At 33.0% G+C, this 20,524-nt stretch overlaps 1 protein-coding gene and 1 pseudogene across 37 annotated transcripts in view, besides 1 other annotated feature; one reads left to right on the top strand and one right to left on the bottom strand.

Moving 5' to 3' along the window:
* The window catches only part of CCDC91 (coiled-coil domain containing 91), a 359,711-nt gene that overhangs the window by 226,683 nt on the left and 112,504 nt on the right, over window positions 1–20,524 (bottom strand). For 24 of the 37 annotated variants that reach the window (NM_001352079.2, XM_047429083.1, XM_047429081.1 and 21 more), the window contains 3 exons: window positions 17,678–17,835; window positions 16,539–16,742; window positions 15,735–15,839 (listed from right to left, as the gene is read on the bottom strand). In NM_001352079.2, coding sequence (NP_001339008.1) covers window positions 15,735–15,839; window positions 16,539–16,742; window positions 17,678–17,835 — 467 coding nt within the window. Of the gene's footprint in view, window positions 1–15,734; window positions 15,840–16,538; window positions 16,743–17,677; window positions 17,836–18,772; window positions 18,859–20,524 lie in introns of those variants that run through there. The other 13 variants (XM_047429090.1, XM_047429089.1, XM_024449036.2 and 10 more) reach the window with 3 other exon arrangements.
* On the top strand, window positions 4,021–4,149 carry RNU4-54P (RNA, U4 small nuclear 54, pseudogene; annotated as a pseudogene).
* Window positions 10,173–10,342: an enhancer, noted in NCBI's record as "experimental_27419 CRE fragment used in MPRA reporter constructs". NCBI's record gives its function as "activates a minimal promoter by MPRAs in K562 erythroleukemia cells, with activity observed for the introgressed 12:28466160 variant allele {active_cell/tissue: K562}" and the evidence as "EXISTENCE:reporter gene assay evidence [ECO:0000049][PMID:34662402]".

Here is a 20,524-nt window from a genome sequence, read left to right as displayed (position 1 = left end):
CAACAGAAATGGAAATCAAATCTAGAATATATCTAAGTATATATGGAAATTTAATATACGGCAAAGATGCATTCCAAATAAGAAGGGACAAGAGGGACTGTTTTACAAATATTGTCATGGTAACAAGCTAACTGTGTGGGAAAAGGAGTAATTAGACTCTATCTCACTCTATCAATACGAAGTCCAGATAGATCAAAAGTTAAATGTAAAATGAAACTACAAAATGACCGGAATTGAACATAGACAAATATTTTCTAACCCAAAACTCATATATAAGAGACTAACCTTATACTATTATATACTAAAATATATAATAATTAACAGTATACACCATTACTAAAAAATTTACTAGAGTTAATTTTTTAAATCAACTGTAGAAAAAGCTATCAACATAAAAAAATTCCAGAATATATGATAAAATGTAAATAATCCTAATATATAAAGGTTCTTATAAATCACTTAAGATAAATAGAATTTTTTAAATTAAAAATAAAAAGATACAGGAAATGTAGGGGAAAAATGATCAACAGCCATATGAAAAAAATCTAACATACTAATAAGGAAATAAAAATTAAAATATCAAAAGTTATATTTTACTTCTCTAACTGGCATATTAAAAGTCTGGCAATACCCAGTAGGCAAGGATATGGTAAAACAGGCATTCTCATGTATTTCTTGGTGAAAGTATAAATATGTATAATATTCTGGAAGACAAGTTAATACTATCTGTCTAGAAGTTATCCATAAAGTATAAAATTATAGGCATCTTTTACTTTCTAAGTTATGGATTTCTATATTTGAAATTTTTACTAGACTATGTTACTAGAAAAATTATGTGTTTTAAGAAAAACCTCAAAAAATTTGTATGACAGAGAAAAAAATAAGGAAGCAGAGAAGGTATATTGAGACACATAGAAAATATACGCATACTAAAAAGAAATGGAAACTTATGACTTGAGAGTAAGAAACTACAAAAAAATGGGAGAAACTTCAAAAACCAAGTGAGGAAAAAGTCCAAAATGATAGGGAAGAAAGGTTTCAAGAAATTAAAAGCAAAAGAAGAGGCCAAGGATTTTTTAAATGTGTGAGGTCATTGGTAATGTCTCAAAGCAGAAGAAGGACTGGAGCTGTTGCCATATCCACAAATTCCTATGCAGTAAAGAGCAGGTTAATGTTTGCCATGAAGGGTGCTTTTCTTCAGATTCTGCAGATTTCATGCTGCTCTGTGATTTCACATGCTGCTTTAACTTGAGAGGCTCCCTAGCAACTATCCTGTAATTTTAGATGCAGATGGAGTAGGTAACATAATTACATCTATCTTGCATAATTATAATGCTTTCTACACTGTATCTATAGCTAAAAGTAAATTCATTATTTTCCTAGAAATTTTTATTTAATAGGGTAGAAGTCATTTCTTAGCTTTAAAGAAAATAAACATTTCTAATGCTTGTATCCCAAAAACTTCCTCCATATATTTATAAATTAAAGCTATAGTGTATTACATCACTACATGTATATCACTATAGTGATATATGTATCACTATACACTACACATATATATACTATACGTATAATGATATACGTATAGTGATGTAATATATGACATATATAATGATACAATACACTATAGCTTTAAATATAAAACAGCTATACTCCATGTGTTAGACTGTTCGGCTAATATAACAAAATAACATAGACTAGGTAGCTTAAATGACAAAAATTTATTTTGCACAATTCTGGAGGCTAGAAGCCCAAGATCAAGGTGCCAGCATGATCATTTTCCGGTGAGGGCTTTCTTCCTGGCTTGTAAAACAGCTACTTTCTCACTGTATCCCCACATGGCAGAGACATAGACAACAAGTTCTCTGATGTCTATTATTATTATAAGTGTACTAATTCCATTATGAGGACCCCATCCTAATGACTTCATCTAAACCTAATTTACTCCCAAAGGCCTCATCTCCAGATACCATCAAAATGGGGATGAGAGCATCAATGTACGAATTTTAGGGGGAAACCATTCAATCCATAGCAGTCTACAAACCACACATTTCAGTCAACCAATCAACATTTTTTTTATGTGCAAGGCACTATTCTAGGAGTTGATAATATCATAGTTAAGTAAGAAAATTTATCCCACTAGGAACTTACATTCTGGGAGGAAAGGGAAACAGCCAAACAATAACTATATAAACAAGTATGATTCAGCTAAGTTTTGAGGAAAATAAAAGAGGAATGGGATATGGGGAAGAACTACTTTAACCAGAAGGGTCAGAAAAAGGCTGTCTCAGCAAGTGGCTTTCAAATAGAGAGCTAAATAATAAAGATGAAGTAGCAATGAACAAACTAAACCAAGCAAAAAAAATGCTCAAATAGCATTTACTATACATAAGCATTCTTCCATTCAAGACACCATTCTCTGCATTGTTAAACAGTTTTACATAGTAGATTTCTTACCTATTCCTTTCAAAACCACAATGTCCTTCTTCCCTCAAACAGAATATGTAAACACACACAGCCTTCTCAACAAGTAAACATTCAATGAGAAAAGGAGAGTACAGCTCTTCAACTCTTACCAATATATAGCAATATCGCTTAAATCACTTATACCTGAGAAAAGTCCAAAGTTCAAAATTCAGCAAATGAATATAAAGACAACAAAGACACTGGGAGCCACCTAAACCCTTACCAAAATTTTCTCAAATTTCCAAACTCTGAATATGTCTTCTCCTTCAACATGCTTTTCTGGCCACTGTGATCAAATGTATCTTTTCTCTTTTATTTTATATGTTAACTGTCTGGTTGAGACACTCTATGACTTACTTACCTGCAAAATAAAGTGTACTGATTTTATAAGCATTTGCTTCAAACTAGTCTTCACTTACTGCTGAGGTCTGTGGCTTTGTTCTAGAATGGCTGAGGTCAAAGTCTGACCTCAGATAAGTGGGAAATACAGTAAATACATCCTTAGAGATTGTAAACTAGAATATTCAAAAATAACAGGTTTGCTTCACCACTGCATGAGGATGAGGCTTAGCCACATTGTAAGTCCATGTTTTCCTATTTTGTGGCATTGCCATTAAGCACATAAAAAAAAAGAAAAAACTCACTAAGCACTTGTCGAAAACATGTATTGACTACAAAAAAAAGTCTGTGTGCACTCTGGGAATGTTCCTTGGGTAATTTACTATCTAGCAAAGAAGATAAAACATAGCCCTCTAAAGTGATAAATGTACTTATAAACAACCTAATAGCATATGGAGTAACCGTAAATAAACATCAAAACCATATTCTACCAAATTATATGTTCCTAAAAAGACCATGTTAAAGGGTTCTTAAATTTATAAGAGATGAAATAATGTCATAGAAAAAGTATCATAATTATAATAGCATAGCATTTCTGAAATGTATTCACATAAACCTTGGTATTAGCGTAGATCAAAAGAGGTCATGTACTGTCTAACTTTGCAAGAAAGTATGAAGATTTAGCATACAGCCTGGAATCTCTCACAATAATAAATGAGTAAAAATTGTATGGCCAAGTGAATATAGTCAGCCCTCTGCATCTGTAGGTACTGCATCCAGGGATTTAACCAGCTGGGGGTAAAAAAGTATTAGGAAGAAATAAAATGCAACTGCACTGAACATATATAGACTTTTTCTCTTCTTATTATTATATTGTATTATTATGATACAATATAACAATAATTTACATAGCATTCACATTGTATTAGGTATTATAACTAACCTTGAACATATATAGACTTTTTCTCTTATTATTATATTGTATTATTATGATATAATATAACAACAATTTACATAGCATTCACATTGTATTAGGTATTATAACTAATCTAGAGATTATTTAAAGTGTACAGGAGGATGTGCACAGGTTATATGCAAATACTATGCCATTTTATATCAGGGACTTGAGCATTTATGGATTTTGGTATCTAAGAGAGGTCCTGGAGCCAAGCCCTCACAGATACTGAGGGACAACTGTATTTAGAATAAATGTTTAACTTTGCACAATGGCAGTATCGTAGCCAATGAGGTTTATCCAAGGCGGAATTACTGCTGACAGAATAGATGTTTGCTTAAAAGACTTTATGCAGAATCATGAGAATCTAAGCACCTAAACTTAAGGTGGACTTTTAATCCATTTTTTGGCATTAATACTTTTTTCTGCTGCAAATCTGTTTAATGATGCTAATTTGCTTAAATCATGGAATTATTTTTACATTTATAAGCATATTTATTTTCTATGTGCTAAAATACATGAAGTTTATTTGCTTAAATTCACCGAAACAGTTTACTTGATTTTTCTTTTAAAAACATTTTAAATTTCCAAACTAACTGTTTACAAATTCTAAATACCTTAAAAAACATTTGGAACAGAAAAACTCATTTTACTTACTGAGTCAAGTCTAAGATGCATATTTCATCACACCTTAAGATTTCTGAATTAGGTGGTATTAAAATATAATTTAGTCTTTTCTGTCCCCTCAAAACCTATCAGTAAATTGATGGCATTCCTTAAACATCTATGTCATCTTGGACTTGAGGAAGTACTAGCAACTACTTTAAATGTCTACTACTGTGGATGATGACTAAGGTAGCAAGGCGGAAGAAAAACATTCTCACTGGCATCAATTAGTTTGTAGATTTTGAAAATGATATTCTCCCAATGACTTCAAAACTGTTCCATTTAGTTCCAATAAATAAAATGACAATTTGATTTTCTCAATTATTAGAACAGGGATAAGAAAATGACATAAGCCCTTTAAAATAAAAGCCAGCACAAAATTTCAAAAACCTGTACCTATATTGTTAATTCTCATAACTGCCTCCAATTCTTGGCATTTTTTGAGACTAAAATGTCAGTTAATTTTCTCATTGCTATTGTTATTCCGTAACAAATAATTGAAAAAGAAATTTTTTTGGAGACAGGGTCTGGCTCTGTCACTGAGGTTAGAGTACAGTGGTGCAATCATAGCTCATTGCAACCTCAAACTCCTGGGCTTAAGCAATCCTTTAGTCTCAGCCTACCAAGTAGCTAGGACAACAGGTGCACACACCATGCCCAGCAGCTAATTTCGTTTTTTGGTTTCTTTTTTTTTTTCTTGAGAAATGGGGTCTCACTAAGTTGCCCAAGCTGGTCTCGATTTACCTGGGCTCAAGCAATCCTCCTGCCACAGCCTCCCAAAGTGTTGGGATTACAGATATGAACCACCGTACTAATAATCAAATTATTAAGTTGTACATTTTCCCCTCATGGTTAGAAAAGTAATAAATTGTTTTTGTTTCTATTAAAAACTGAATATTTAGGTGATAAAATTAATAAAATTTGTATACTCTTCTCATTGTTTAAATGGTATCAAATAAGCTAGTTTTTTCTAATAAAAAAAGAGTTAAAGCTATTTTCATTTTTAAAAATAAATTTTTATTTTTGTGAAATGGCCCTTATTTTACTTAAGTTGCTGACTACTAATCAGAGAATAAAGATAGTGAATGAGGAGAAACAGTATAAAAGTGAAATGTTTATTCTATAAATCAATACTTTAGTGAAGAAAGAAAAATGACTTAAGGTGCTTATTAGGAACATCAATCATGGTGTTGGTAATCAGTATCTGCAAATACTGATAAAAAGGTGCAAATACTGATTAAAAAAAGGTACAAATACAAGTTATATGTTTCAGTGCACAGAATCAAATAAGTGGTAACCCTACAGATATGCTTGTGATCACTGCACTCACCCCTACACATGGACATAAAACTAGTTCATCATCTTCTCTAAAAAAATTAAAAAATAAAAAATGAAGCTTGTCAACTTTAGTGGCTCTTAGGCAAATGTATGATCAATTTTCTATAAAACTCAAGGTGAAAATAAACAATAAAAAAACTACTTGAAAAAATCATTTTTCTCCAAACATTTTTTTCATTTCAACAATTCTTAGAGACACAGACACCCGTAAGTGCTTAATAACAGTATACAAAAATAAAGAAAACATGGTCTTTTCCTTCAAGTTTTATTGCTATGAGATTGAGAACTCCAGGTCCCAGCAATCTACTAACTAATTCCATAAAAAATAAGTATCCTCATGGAAAGCATGTGTTTAACCCTTCTTACCACACATAATTCCCTTTAACAGCAATCAGCAGGGAAAAGAATCTAAGAATATGGTATTAACAATAGTATAGCTTTTAGATGTCTCAAAAATCCCTTACAGAACAAATTTTTTAAAAAATAGAAGCACAAACTGGGATATTCCTATCACAAATCTATATCCCTTGTGAATGCCAAAATATGAACAGGTGAAGACAAACCATCAATAGTCCCAAAACGTGTATGGCATCCGAATCTGTGCAGGAAAAAAGGTAAAAGTAACAGGACATCAGACAGACATGGCAACTCTGAAATGGCTAACAGAAACTCACTGGAGAGGTCAGCATGCCAAGATAAGAACAGTAGCTGAAACTGAGAGAGGTCTACACAATTTCAGGTAAGTACAAGCAGTCTTCAATAAGGAGTCAGTGGGCCCAAAAAACTCTAAATACTTTCCAGATAAAGCCCGACACTGAGGACAAATTGCTGGGAAAATCCAAATTGACCAAACCAGAGACAATAGAGAGAGAAGAAAGAGAGGGTCAAGATAAAAGTGGAAGAAGTAAATGAAGTCAGAAAATTATAAAATGTTGCCACTATATTTTTTTTATCAGACAAAAACACAGAATTTTAAAATGAGAGAAAAAAACTATCTTAAATGACTCATTTAAAAAGTTTAAGAGAACCAATTTCATGTAAAAACAACAGAAGCACATTAGTTGAATCCCATACAATGCTATTATATGAAAAAAAGAAGGACCAGAATGACAGCCCTATAGAAAATAAAAGAATAGCAAAAAAAAAAAAAAAAAAAAAAAAAAGGTGTGAGTTGGCTGAAAGTAAAAATAAATAAATAAATAAAATAAAAAGAAAGATTAAAAACTCAACACAGTAAGCTAAAAGATACTTGGAAAATGATAAAGTAGATTAAAGAACAACATAAACCAAAGTTAGAACAACTCAGAAATGATGAGAGATTTTAGAAAAGAATTATGACAGAATAAATCATTTCAGAAATGATTATTTAAACTAAAGAATAAAAGGGGGAGCAAATTTTAGATCAAAAAGAAATGAAGCAATAAAAAGGAGTCAAGTAAAGACAAATGTAGAAGGCAAAGACTATCCAACATACAAATAACAGGAGTCACCATAAGGAAGACACAGTCAGAGAATAAAACAAACATTAAATTTATAATGTAATAACTTCTTAAAACTGTAAAGTAAGAAATTGAAACTACATATATTAGAAAGACATATTGTAAACCTAGAGGAATCAACCAAAAATCACCAAAAGCAGGATATAACAAGAAACTGGAAAAAGAATTAGATTGCTATTAGACTTTGACAGCAATGTTTTATGATAGAAGAAAATAATGTATTTCAGATGTTCATAGAAAGAATAGGAATTTCTATATGAGTCACTATGAAAAGGCCTCCAAGAAATAATCTTAACTAAATAAATATTTAGTACACTATTATCTAAATGAGACAGAAGGAAGGAGATATATGTATATTTATCATTGGCCTTGGTTTGCATTATAAAATATTCTACAAGGATTAAAAAAAAAAAACAGGAATTACCTGTTGAGGGCACAAAAGAACTAGGTGGATGTAGCAGAGGATGAGGTGTAGACTTTTCACTATATATCTTTATTTACTATATGCAGTTTTTGATGTTTGAATCACTTGAACACATTAATTAACTGGTGTCAGCCACTAATTTAGCATTTTTTGAAACTTTCCTGGAAAGTATAATGTGATCCTGGATTGAAGATTATTGTTCTAAAATTTAAGGAAGTCAAATAAGTGAAGCAAAACAGATGAAATGCAGAAATTCATGAAAACTACTGTATAAAGCAAAATTTTCAAGTTCATTGCTTGGACCTGAAAGTCTTATTTTTAAGAATATACAAGGTCAGGTATGGTGCTCATGCCTGTAATCCCAGCATTTTAGAAGGCCAAGGTGGGCAGATCACCTGAGGTCAGGAGTTCAAAGCCAGCCTGGTGAACATGGTGAGACCGCATCTCTACTAAAAATACAAAAATTAGCCGGGTGTGGTGGTACATGCCTGTAATTCCAGCTGCTTCAGAGGCTGAGGCACAAGAATCGCTTGAACCCAGGGAGGTGGAAGTTGCAGTGAGCCAAGATCATGCCACTGATTCCAGCCTAGGCAACAAGAGCGAAACTCCTTCTCAAAAACAAAAATATATATATATATATATACAACTGACACATTAAGTAAAATACCCTTAACATGTTGTTCTTTCTATATAAATAATTCTACCTGTTTGGTTTGAATAAACTTTTCTACACTATATAGACATGTTTTAATGAATGTAAATGCTTATTATGGCAATGTTTATTATTCTAATACAGTTTGACAAAGAGGTCTTCCAAATTTTAGTATTTAACCTATGGATTGAATAATTCAATCATTCAATTAGCTTTGAAATAAGAAAGAAAATACTTGACCATATCTCACAATGATTGATCTCTCACAGTGACTCTCATTTTATAAGGCCTATGAAGAGGATGGGATTCCTAACAACAGAAATACATACATTTCCCAACATCAAATCTAATCTAAAATATACTACTAAAAGAAATGCATGTAAGACCAACTAAAATATAAAATCCTTATTGTTTCATTTTTTACACACATTCCATTTATTAATTACTCTTTCTCTTGTCAGACTACAATTCTGACAAAGATACATCTTCAGAGTGTTTAGTCATGCCAAAAAATATGTAAATGAACAGAATGTCTTCAAGTGATGCTTAATGTGTACTAATATTTCCTTCAGCATTTTCCAATCCTACATAAGACCGCAAACTATATTTTGGGTTACCTACACATAACTGCTAAATTCTCTACATACCAGATTATCAAGTTAACTATTCTGGGTAGTCAAGCAACTGATCTAATCTACCCCTTAACCAACTTTATAAAGCACAATTATTATAGTAGCCTCTTGCCAAGCGCCCAATGTCCAACACCTGATTAGTACTTATTTTTAAAGAGTACATGAAAAAATTTAGATTAATATCTACTGGTACTTAAATAATACAATCTGTGAAATCAGCAACAGAATGTAAGTAGTAGTCTGGGGCTGTATAAATCCATTTATAGGTAAATTTAAGGTCCTCTGAAACACTTTATTTTCATAAAACAGTACTAGTTGTTTTTTTTTTAATTAAATTTTCAAGCCAAATAATCAAGCTGCTGTAGCCACGAGGCACTGCAATAGAAAATGGAATGTGAAAGAATTAAGTCCAGTCTTTAAAAAGTTTACACAAAAAATTCCCAAAGTTAGCCATAGATACCAATACTGACGACTATCAAAGATAATAATTTTATAACCAGCTGTGTCTGGTAACTGAATTTTTAGAAATGTGGCAGCATGAGGACATGTGCTATCTGATGAGCTGCCAAGTTTCCTGAGTGCTTGTCACAGGTGTTGACCCACTTGTTACAGGAGTCAAAGAAAGGAGACAAAAGGGACTGGAATCCAAGTTGTACTAAAATGAGGAGTTCTCTATTCAAGTTTTGTGAAAGTCCTTTAAATAGCTATTTCTGATAAATGCAGCATGACTCACTTTTCTTCCTCTGGTTAGGCTACACACCCTGGACAGAACAGGAAAAGGGGACATAGCACACACCCCCATTGTACTATAGAGTTCACAGTATTTATTTCCTTTTGTTATGGCACATTCACGCCTCTCCACCTATCCTGGTAATTAGACCATATCACATAAAATAACACTGTTAGAATTATCTGTAATCATTAATGTTGTTTTTTAAAAGTTTGTTTAAAGGTTTTACAAACATTCCATTTATTAATTACTCTTTCTCTTGTCAGACAAAAATTCTGACAGATACATCCAAAACCTGGCCTAAGTAGAGGAGTAGATTTTCCAAAACTGAAAACTCAGAGCCCAGTATTCTGAAATCAGGTGAAAATATTTAGAATTTTCATGGTGAGAAATAGCTATAAATTTTGTTTTCCTTTTTCTATATTGTCCACATTTTCCAGACTACACATACTATTTTTATAAATACATACACATACTAACATTTCTTAAGGAGAAAGAACTTCTCAGCTAATTTAATCTAGCAATATCTTACTGGACTCCTAAATGTTTTGCTTTATTTAGGATACCACAGAGATGCAGGCACCAGTATATTGTTCCTGTCATCATAAATAACTCTTTTCATTTCATTAAGCTTCACAGACATTTAAAAGACCTGTATGTTAGATACCTTGATATTAAAAAATTGCCATATTCTACAGAAAATATGTCATAAATAAGATTCAATTATCTAAAGGATGACTGGCAGACCATAAATCCAAACAAGAAATTTAATATATATTCACTGTTTGTATTAGTCCGTTTTCACACTGCTGATAAAGACATACCCGAGACTAGGCAACTTATAAAAGAAAGAGGTTTAATGGATTCACAGTTCCACTTGGCTGAGGAGGCCTGACAATCATGACGGAAAGTGAAAGGCACGTCTCACATGGCAGCAGACAAGAGAAGAGAACTTGCACAGGGAAACTTCCCTTTATAAAACCATCAGATCTCGTGAGACATTTACTATCACAAGAATAGCACAAGAAAGACACATCCCCATGATTCAATTATCTGCCACCAGGTCCCTCCCACAACATGTGGGAATTATGAAAACTACAATTCAAGATAAGATTTGAGTGGGGACACAGCCAAACCATATCACTATTTAAAAACTTACTTTGCTAATATTTCATCCTATACATATTTAACATACAGTAGCCTCCTTTGACACTCACAAATTTAATCACATCTCTTATTCCTAAGAAATTATTAGGTAGAAACGACTTTGTGTTAGTTTGAAAGAAGTCCATAACCCTCAGAAAGAACTGGATTGCAGAAAGGTCAAATACGGAAGCCTAAGATTTCTAAATTCTTCCTGAATCAGGTATTTACAGTACAATGTAAATATTTTTGTTGAAAATACACTTTCAGAATATCTAACACATACACATAAATATGCACAAACTTAGTAAATATAAAGCAGATATAGAGATTTATGTATTATCTCCCATTTCGAATTATCCATATATTTTTATGCATCCTTCCTCTATCTAGAATGACTCCATGGGAGCTCATTAACCTGTTTCCCCACCTCCAAAAAAAACCGACTCAAAGTTACCTGTTTCAAATTAATGTATTTTAACTTTGATATCAATTTCCTGATGTAGCTACAACAAAGAATAACTAAAATTTAAAAGGTTGCTTTCTATCCCACTTCCAGATTAAAATTAAAAAGACACACTTCTCCCTATTTCTATCAATAAATAGAGCTAAAAAGTTTGGACATTTTATTAAAACAAATTTAAGAGGATTCTGGAATGCAGAGGGAAGGCAGACTAACTAGGGACCTGGGAATCCAAGGAATGACAAAGCAGTGAGTTCTGTGAGTTTTCTTTTAGCCTCATATATCCCAAACTGGGGAGTGGAATAGCCAGCAACCAGGAAACACCAACAGGCACAAAAGCCCCAATAAAAGTCAATCCTCTGTAACAAAAGGGCCATCCATGAAAGGCACAATCTAGCAAGACAGAAAACTTTTAGACAATAAACATCCTACACCAACCAAATACCATGGAAAAAAAATTTAAAAAAAAACACGCATGGCCCTAACTTTGAAACTTTTAATCAACAGTAAACAATGACTCAAACAAAATACTTTCTTCTAAATAGTCATAGTGTAGGCCTATTGAACAATGTCCCTATAGGACACTGAAAAGACACACTGCTCACCTTTTTCCTTATTTCCAAGTTTCGCCTTTATTTTTAAACCACCTCTGTCACAAAAGGCCGAGTACTGAGCCTAGATTTCCACTCTCGCCCCAGCAACAATGCAGTGCCCATAGATGACCTCGATGTGGTATCAGAGAAAACCAAGTGGTTGTGAAGACAGTTTTAGGACTTCTATCCCCATCCAAAAGGAAAAAGACTCTCTCTCCCTCCTTTCCTGTGTCAGAGGAAGCTGAGTGGGAAGCCAGAACTTTTATAACTATCCAGAGGTAAGAAGATCTCACCTAATCTCACAGTAAGGCACCCGTGGAACAGTAATAAGGTGCCTCTCCTGCTCCCAGCCAGGGATGTATCTGCTAAGGCCTGTGGGAGCCCTGAAATCCCACCTTATCTCAGGAGTAAGGCAGTATCCCTCCTACCCAGGGTGTCAAAGGGGGCTGAGTGGAAAACTTGTCATTTTACTTGCACCTGACATTAACAAAATGGTTAATCTTTTCCCAAACTATACAGTATCAGATGAGGCCTGCTAAAATACAAGATTTAAATAAGATCCAAGGTATCATACAAAATACCCAAAATATGCAGGATAAAATTAAAATGCACTCATCATACTAAGAATCAGAAAAATCTCAACTTGGGTAAGAAAATACTATCAATAGTAACACTGAGATGACATTTTTCTAACAAGGATTTTAAAGCAACCATAATAAAAATGCTTCGGCAGGGAATTATGAAACATGCTTGAAACAAACAGAATAGAAAGTTTAAGCACAGAATGGAAGATATGAAGGAGAACCAAATGGAAATTTTAGAACTGAAATATACAATAACCAAATAAAAAACAAAGAATTGGCACATCAAATGAATGGAAGGGACTGAGGATAGAAATGCTTTCCTCAGAGATGGTATGGTGACATACAAACTGAACAGTATGCCTACTTTAACTTCGATTTGGCTATGAGACCTCCTGGTACATTTTTCTATAATTTATTTAGCCAAGGTGTTTAACACTCCGTAAGTTACTCTTTTATTCCCATGCTATAAAAAGGAGAGAGAAGCCTATAGGTCCTAAAATGAAGTCATCTGAAAAAAGTTTTCTTTGAAAGTACTGATTCCTACAAAAGGAACTAGCTTTGAAGACTCAAGTCATCACTCCTAGATTATCACTATTAATAGTAAACGCAGTGAGACAACAATGATAATGCCAGATAGCATTTATATTGGTCATTAATGTAAAAACAACCCAAAGTGATATACGTTAAGTCTCACGTAGTCTCTCTGATATGTTACTGTTCCCATTTATAGATGGAAAAACTGAACTCTCAAAGATGTATGTCTCACTAAAGGGTCCAGAATAAGTCATTCAGTGGAGACAAAGAAACACAAAGTTATCTCATTATTCAGTACTATGCCTTTTAATCAGCACCATAGTTCCAAGGATGAGGTCAGTAAGTGTGGCTATACACAATGTAATTAGTCCTTGGGGAGCAGGGTGCATGATATTAGTTCATCTATTCAATTCATCCAACAGTATTCATTGAACATGCACTATATGCCAAGTACTACTGGGAAGGAAAACTCCTTAATCTCAAGGAATTTACACTGTAGTGGAGAAAAGACAGAAAATAAACAAATCAAAATAAAATAACAGGTAGGAATAAGCGGTATGGAAAAGAAAAAAATAAAAAGGGCTAGGGGATGCTGAGCAAGTACAAAGGGCCTTATTTTATACAGCACGATTAAGAAAAGCCTCCACAAGAGTAGCATTTGAGCAAATATCAGAAGGAAGCTAGAGTTCAGCGAGAGCTGTTAAAAGTATAATTTTCAAAAAGTTAATCTGACTCATGTAAATACCAATTGAAGATATACCAAAGATTTATTCTGTTCATTTACTAATGAATTAATCATTTATCTTAAGACTGAATGAATATTAAGACTGGTTCAAGAAGCATTTGAAGAACAGGATTTATATAGGAAATTTAACAATGGAGTGTTAACTAGGAGCAATAGGTTAGAGACGAAACTGGTTAATATCCTATAAGACCGAATGAATAAGATGCTAAGACTGGTTTAAGCAGCATGTGAAGAACAGGATTTAGATAGGAAATTTAACAACATGGAGTGTTGGACTAAAAGCACTAGGTTAGAGATAAAACTTGTTAATATCCTACAGGGCAATTAATTATATTCTTAGAAGTTATCTTTTCTAACAGACAGAATTATTCGCATCTCTTCAGGGGAAAAAATCTATAAATTAACATGTAACTTCACTACATCTGAGACTTTTATTCAAGAATAAACAGTGAGTCAAATAAAGTACTTTCTCCTAAGTACTCCTGAGGTGGGCACATTAAACAATGTCATCACAGGCACTGAAAAGACACACTGCCTGCGTTTTTCTTATTTCCAAGTTTTGTATTTTTAAGAAACTTATCTACAGGAGGAACAGCATTCCAGGCAGAGATATGTGAGTGAATCATGGACCATACCCCTCCAACAGGCAAAGAATGTCCTTCCCCACGCATACTCACACATTCACCTATACCTTATTATAAAGCTTGGTGTAAATAAATACCTGAGGGTAAACTGGAGAAGCTTGAAAATGTATATTGGAATGAAAATAGGAATTGAGTCTGGGATCTGATTTGATTTACATTTTTAAAACACTACTCTTACCTGCTGAATTAAAAACTCATGAAGGAAAAGAACAAGGATGGAAGCCAGAAGACCACTTAGGAGACTATTACAGTGATCCAGGCAAATAAACAAGTAAATATATAATTTGTCAAATGTAAAAGGTGCTAGGAATAAAAATAAAGCAGACTATGATAAGGTGGATGGAGAGGATGTCAGCATTGTCTGGAAAGGCTTATCTGATAAGGTAATACTTGAACAGAGACTTGAAGGCTATGAAGAAAACCATGCAGGTATCTGAGGGAATCTGAGCACTCTGGACATTAGGAAAAAGAAAAATGACTGAGGAAAAAGAGGCAAGGAAAAGAGAGGAAGAAGGGACATAAGGGAACACAGAGCCTTGAAAACCAGTTTAAGGACCTGGCTTTTAGTGTGGGAAAGATAAGAAGCCCACGAAGGTTTTAGAACAGAATAATGACATGACTAGCTTTAAGTTTCAATCAGATCACAGTGGCTGCAATGGGGGGAATGGTCTGCACGTGGGCAGTGACAAAAACAAAAGACTAGTTAGAATATACTTTAGTAATCCAAGGGAGAAATAATGATAATATACAATATGTTAATAGCGCTGACCATGATGATAAATGGTTGAAACCTGGATATTCTGAAGGTACAGCCAACAAATCCTGCTAAAGAAACAGACATTGAGTAAGTACAAAAAGGAATGAGTTAGTTTTAGTCTTAGCAATTAGAAAGATGGAGTTGCCATTTACTGTGTTAGGTTAGACTGTAGAAGAAATAAATAAGAAAATTTAGGAAGGAGAAAAGGAGACAATTTATTTAAAAAAGTTAAGTGTCTCAGTTCTGGATTACAGGATTCTAAATGTAATTCAAATGTAATTATTATAACAAAAATTAGAATAAACAGTTCCCAAAATGTATCCATCAGAAACAGAATATTTCTTACCAAATTGTTTGGGCCTCAAACTACTAATCCTCAGGGCTGCTCACAGACTCATATTTTTCAAAATGGGTGTCTTCCCATTAATTTAGCCCATGTTGGTCAGTTTTATATATTTAAGCAAGTATCTGATTCTTCATTCATAAGATATTCATTATGCACTTTTTGAAATTATAGCACATGCTTCATCAAAAGGCTTACATTTTAAATCTTAAGTTCAATCGCCTTACCTGAAGTTCTTTGTATCTATCTTGAAAAGAAATGGCCTCTTGCTCTTTTTCTTTTAGAAAGCCTTTTTCTAAGACATTATGCTTTTCCATCAATGATTCCACATCCTAAAATAAAAATACAAATACAAGCTTTGTAATATTTAATGGCATAAAATATAATTAGTTTTTTCAATGAACATGTCAGAAAACATTTGTCAGAGAAAGAATCCATGGGAAGTACGGCTTAAAATCTAACAATATTATAAATTATATGCTTCACTCTAATTTCTAGGCCAATATCAAACATGGACACAACATTTACTCATTCCAACAAATGAATATGAGCATCTCAACTAATTTCATCAACATAATCTACCTCTACATACACTTTCTATAAATTTGCTATATATTCACAGGGAAGAAAGCATAAGTAAAGAATTTACTAAAATGGCTGTATACCTAAGTACTCTTGTCAAATATCCTGTGATGCCTAACTTCCCATAGGGAAAAGTTGATGTCGCAAAATTTCACCTCCTCATAAGAAACACAATACTACCTGCTTTCAAAGTAAATAAAAATAAACCAAAAAAGAAAGCAATAGTTAGAAAAAACCTAGTAAACGATGTTCATATCTTTAAAAGTACATATGTAAAATATATTTCTTATCAAAGGCTTTTCTAAGTGATAAGCTCATGACTGCTTTAAACCTACAACCAAGGGAGAAAAGTATCTTCTTCCTCTGATGAGTTTTTAATCAGAGTTTGAGATTATATCAAATTTCTAATATTTGCAATTCAAACATTTCTTAGGCAAATGTAAATATACCTGTTTAATTCTCTGTTTTTCTTCTTCAGATACTTTGAGTTTAATCTCCAGACTTGAAATTTTTTGCTGAAGCTGTATGTTAGATACATTGGCTCCAGGATCCTCAGAATCATCCACAAGGGCAATTGTTCCATTACTTTTTTCATCAGTTAAACCCAATGGAAAAAGTGAGATATCCAGATGAGTGTGTGTTGATTGCTGAATCTAAACCACATAAAAAAAAAAATACACAAGAGAGGAAAGTTTACACTATACCAATAATGAAAACATCCAAAGGGCACTAGAAACCACATTTGGAAATTAAGTTGTTGAAAAGGTTCCGAAATTATTTCACCCTTTAAGTAAATCAAGAGAAGACCTCAAACTTTTACAACAACCCGATCTTTGCTGTAAGAAACAAAATTTCCTCTTAATTTTGAAATCTAAAGTATTCATTATTTTGCTACCAATGCACTAAAAGACTTAACTTTTTCCTGTGCTTGAAAATGTATGAATAAGGATAGACATATCTGGTTGTTAACAGTTCTTAAATTTACACACAGACCTAGAATTTGTTTATATTTTAAACTGTAAATCAAACTCTGAAATTTATCAATGACCTCTATTGATCACCACTGTCTCGCAAAATTAACAGGTGACTCAAAATTGTGTACAGCACTTTAGAAATTGGGACTACCTTCAGCAGCTAGCATAAATTCTTGCTTTAAAAAATATTTGAATGAATAAACCTTATAACTGCTATATTTTTGGTTTTTACTCTAAAATTGAAATAGTTGCTTGAATACCTGAAAATGTGCGGTAAGATTCGCTGAAAAGAGAAATACTTATTCTTCTTTGTATTATTTTCCCTTTTCAAGTTCAAGATTTGAAATGCAAAGCCAAGTAAAGTTTAATAAATGAGATACTCAAATCATACTTTGGTAACTAAGGCTACTTAAATACTTTGCAATTGTGCCACGACACAAACATATTATATAGTTTTTTTGAATTCTAAGTATTAGCCTCAAAATTAGAATATCTATTGCAGAAATACTTCTTTTAGACAAATAGGCTAAAAAAGAAATTAAAAAAGCAACAATTAAATTAGCAGGCAATTTTTTAAATATGCAAACCTCCTTTAAAAATATGTTTGTCTTTACCTGTGCTTTTGGAATAGTTTGACTCACAATGCTATTTGCTGCATGTGTATTCTCTGGTGATGAAATAATGGCATCAGAAGAGAGGCAGCCAATGGAAGAAGAGTGGTCACGGTCCAGTACAATCTCAGGAGAAGATGGTGAAAGATGGACTCCAGATACTAAAGAAAAACAACAACAACAAAAAGGATAGGATTATTAAAGAGAAAACAGAGAGGGAACAGGTTGAAAGGAAGAAAGAGAGCTGAAATAGAGGAAAAGAAAAAAGTAAGGAAAGTAAAAGCAATGAGAGTGAAAAATCAGGATTCTATGACTATTCCTCAGGGCCCAATCTGTGAAAGCTAAAACTAGTGTTTTTAATTTAACATGACACTTCCATGTAAGATCCAGGCAAACAAAATAGTTTTATAAAGTCTTAGTGTTTACATACCAACACAGTGCCATAAGGAGTACATTTCCAACATAGAGAAAATACTCATATATATATATTATATATTCATACATTTCATTCAGAAAAATCCATTTAATTTTTTTAAAAAGCGCTAGAGTACCTACCAGTGCCAGTCACAGGCATTAGGGACTGAAGAGACAGCAGTGAGCAATACAGATGCACCCATGTACTCAATGGCTTTATGACTCGGTAGGCAAGTCAACCAATTAATATTTATTACAATAAAATAAGTAAGGGGAAAGAACAATTACTTTGAAACAACTAATCCAACAATATCTGCATTAAAGTCTCTTTTGTAACAAACAAAAGGTTTTTCATGCTAAAATAAAGTCAGTTTAAGTTTGCTGAATTGTCCATACAGAAAAATAATAACTTTTCTTTTCTTTTTCAATTAGCTTTAAGAAAAATAGATTGTGATTAGAGCTCAAATATAAAGGTCCTGAAAGGGAATCCAAATATCAAGTATGACATAGGACAAAAGTACGGATATAAGCAAGATAAACATGTCGTACATATATTACTTGATTTTCCAGTGTTCTTTCTAAAAATTCAAATAAGTTTGTATTATGTATTTTAAAATTTAAGGAAAGTGAGTCACTTTTTGGTGCAGCCCATTTATACATTTTAACTTTCTAAACTATAAAGACCTTTATTCCACATTGGCATCAGCAACTTCAGTGAAGTTCTACCATAAACTCTGGAAGGCAGCTCACAATGAAAATTGCATGTTTCCCTGAAGAAAGACATTTATAAGGCCATTAGATATAAACAAAATAACAAATACATCAATTTGTGATTGATATTCTAAGAATTCAATTATCTTATACACACTTTTATTATGTAGCAATATTGCATTTTTAGCAATATTGCATTTTTGACATATTATGTGCCATACTATATAATTAATATAGTCTAGCTTCACCCATAGGCATTTCTTTTTTTCTTTTTTTTTTTTTCTTTTTTTTTTTTTTTTTTTTTTTTTTAGACGGAGTCTCACCCCGTTACCCAGGCTGGAGTACAATGGCGTGATCTTGGCTCACTGCAATTTCCACCTCCTGGGTTCAAGCAATTCTCCTGCCTCAGCCTCCCAAGTAGCTGGGATTACAGGCACTCGCCACCACGCTCAGCTAATTTTTGTATTTTTAGTAGAGATGGGGTTTCACCATGTTGGCCAGGATAGTCTCGATCTCCTGACCTCATGATCCGCCCGCCTCGGCCTCCCAAAGTGCTAGGATTACAGGTGTGAGCGACCACACCTGGCCAAGCATTTCAATTCTTTAACTCAAATACAGAAAAGTGAAATTTTAATTGATGTTTGTACTTGGTATCCCTACTTCGGAAATTATTTTTTTTCTAATCTTCACTATTCTATACAAGTAGAATAGTGAGAGTTCTTCAAAATGTCAAAATATTCCCACTTCTAATTCTGTATCATAATTTACAACAAAAATATTACTAATGAATTTTTAAAGGCATGAAAATAACTAGTACAGTGGAGTGAGAAGGAATACAGCCTTGTGATTAAGAGCATAGACTCTAGAACCACACTGCCATACCAGGTATAGAACAATGGACAAGTTACTTAACTTCTCTGTGCTTCAGTTTTCTCATCTATAAAATGGGCAGAGATTTTGCTGATAAGGTTGAAATTGTGGAAAACATGTAAAGCATTTAGTAAAGTGTTGATATTTTATTATTTCAAAGATTATCATTAAAATTTATTGAGCAAGTATGTTTAAAGGTATATATGTGGCTGTGATCCTGTATTCAAGAAACTATTAACAGTTTCATTCTGATCTAACACCTATTTTAATATTTATTTATGTTACTCATATTTATAGGCATAAGATAAGATGTCATGCTGTCCCAAGTTAAATTCTCATCCTGTAACATTAAATGTTCAAGTGTATCATGTTAGGGAGAAAGGAGGGAAAGTAGGTAGAAAACAGGAAGAGTGGGAGCGAGTAAGAAAGAAAAGAGAAAAAGAAAGAGATGAAAGGGAGAGGTTGAAGGAGGACAGCAGAGAGAGGGAATGAAGGTACTCTGAATCACATACTAGCTAGTACCATACTATGACCCTTTCTCTTCATAACAAAAATTCTTCAACAGTTCATAACCCGTCTCCATTTTCTTCTTCCTCGACCCAATCTTCATAACTCCACTGGATCTGTTATTTAAGATACTACTTGTTGTATCAGATACTATTAAATCAAATAAACACTTCTGATCTTATCTTTCTTTAGTTCTCCAGAGAATGATAATGACCCTCCATTTTTCTTAAAACTCCTCCTTTGGTGCCTGTTACACATGATCTCCTATATTTCTACCTAACACTTTGACTACCATTTCCTTGATTCCTTTTCAGGCTCTTTCTCCAATAAACCACAAGTTTCATTATT

This window comes from Homo sapiens, chromosome 12, assembly GCF_000001405.40.
Source record: "Homo sapiens chromosome 12, GRCh38.p14 Primary Assembly".
Classification (NCBI taxonomy): domain Eukaryota; kingdom Metazoa; phylum Chordata; class Mammalia; order Primates; family Hominidae; genus Homo; species Homo sapiens.
The sequence above is the reverse complement of the archived record's forward strand: the minus strand, read 5'-3'. Positions and strand labels throughout refer to the sequence as shown.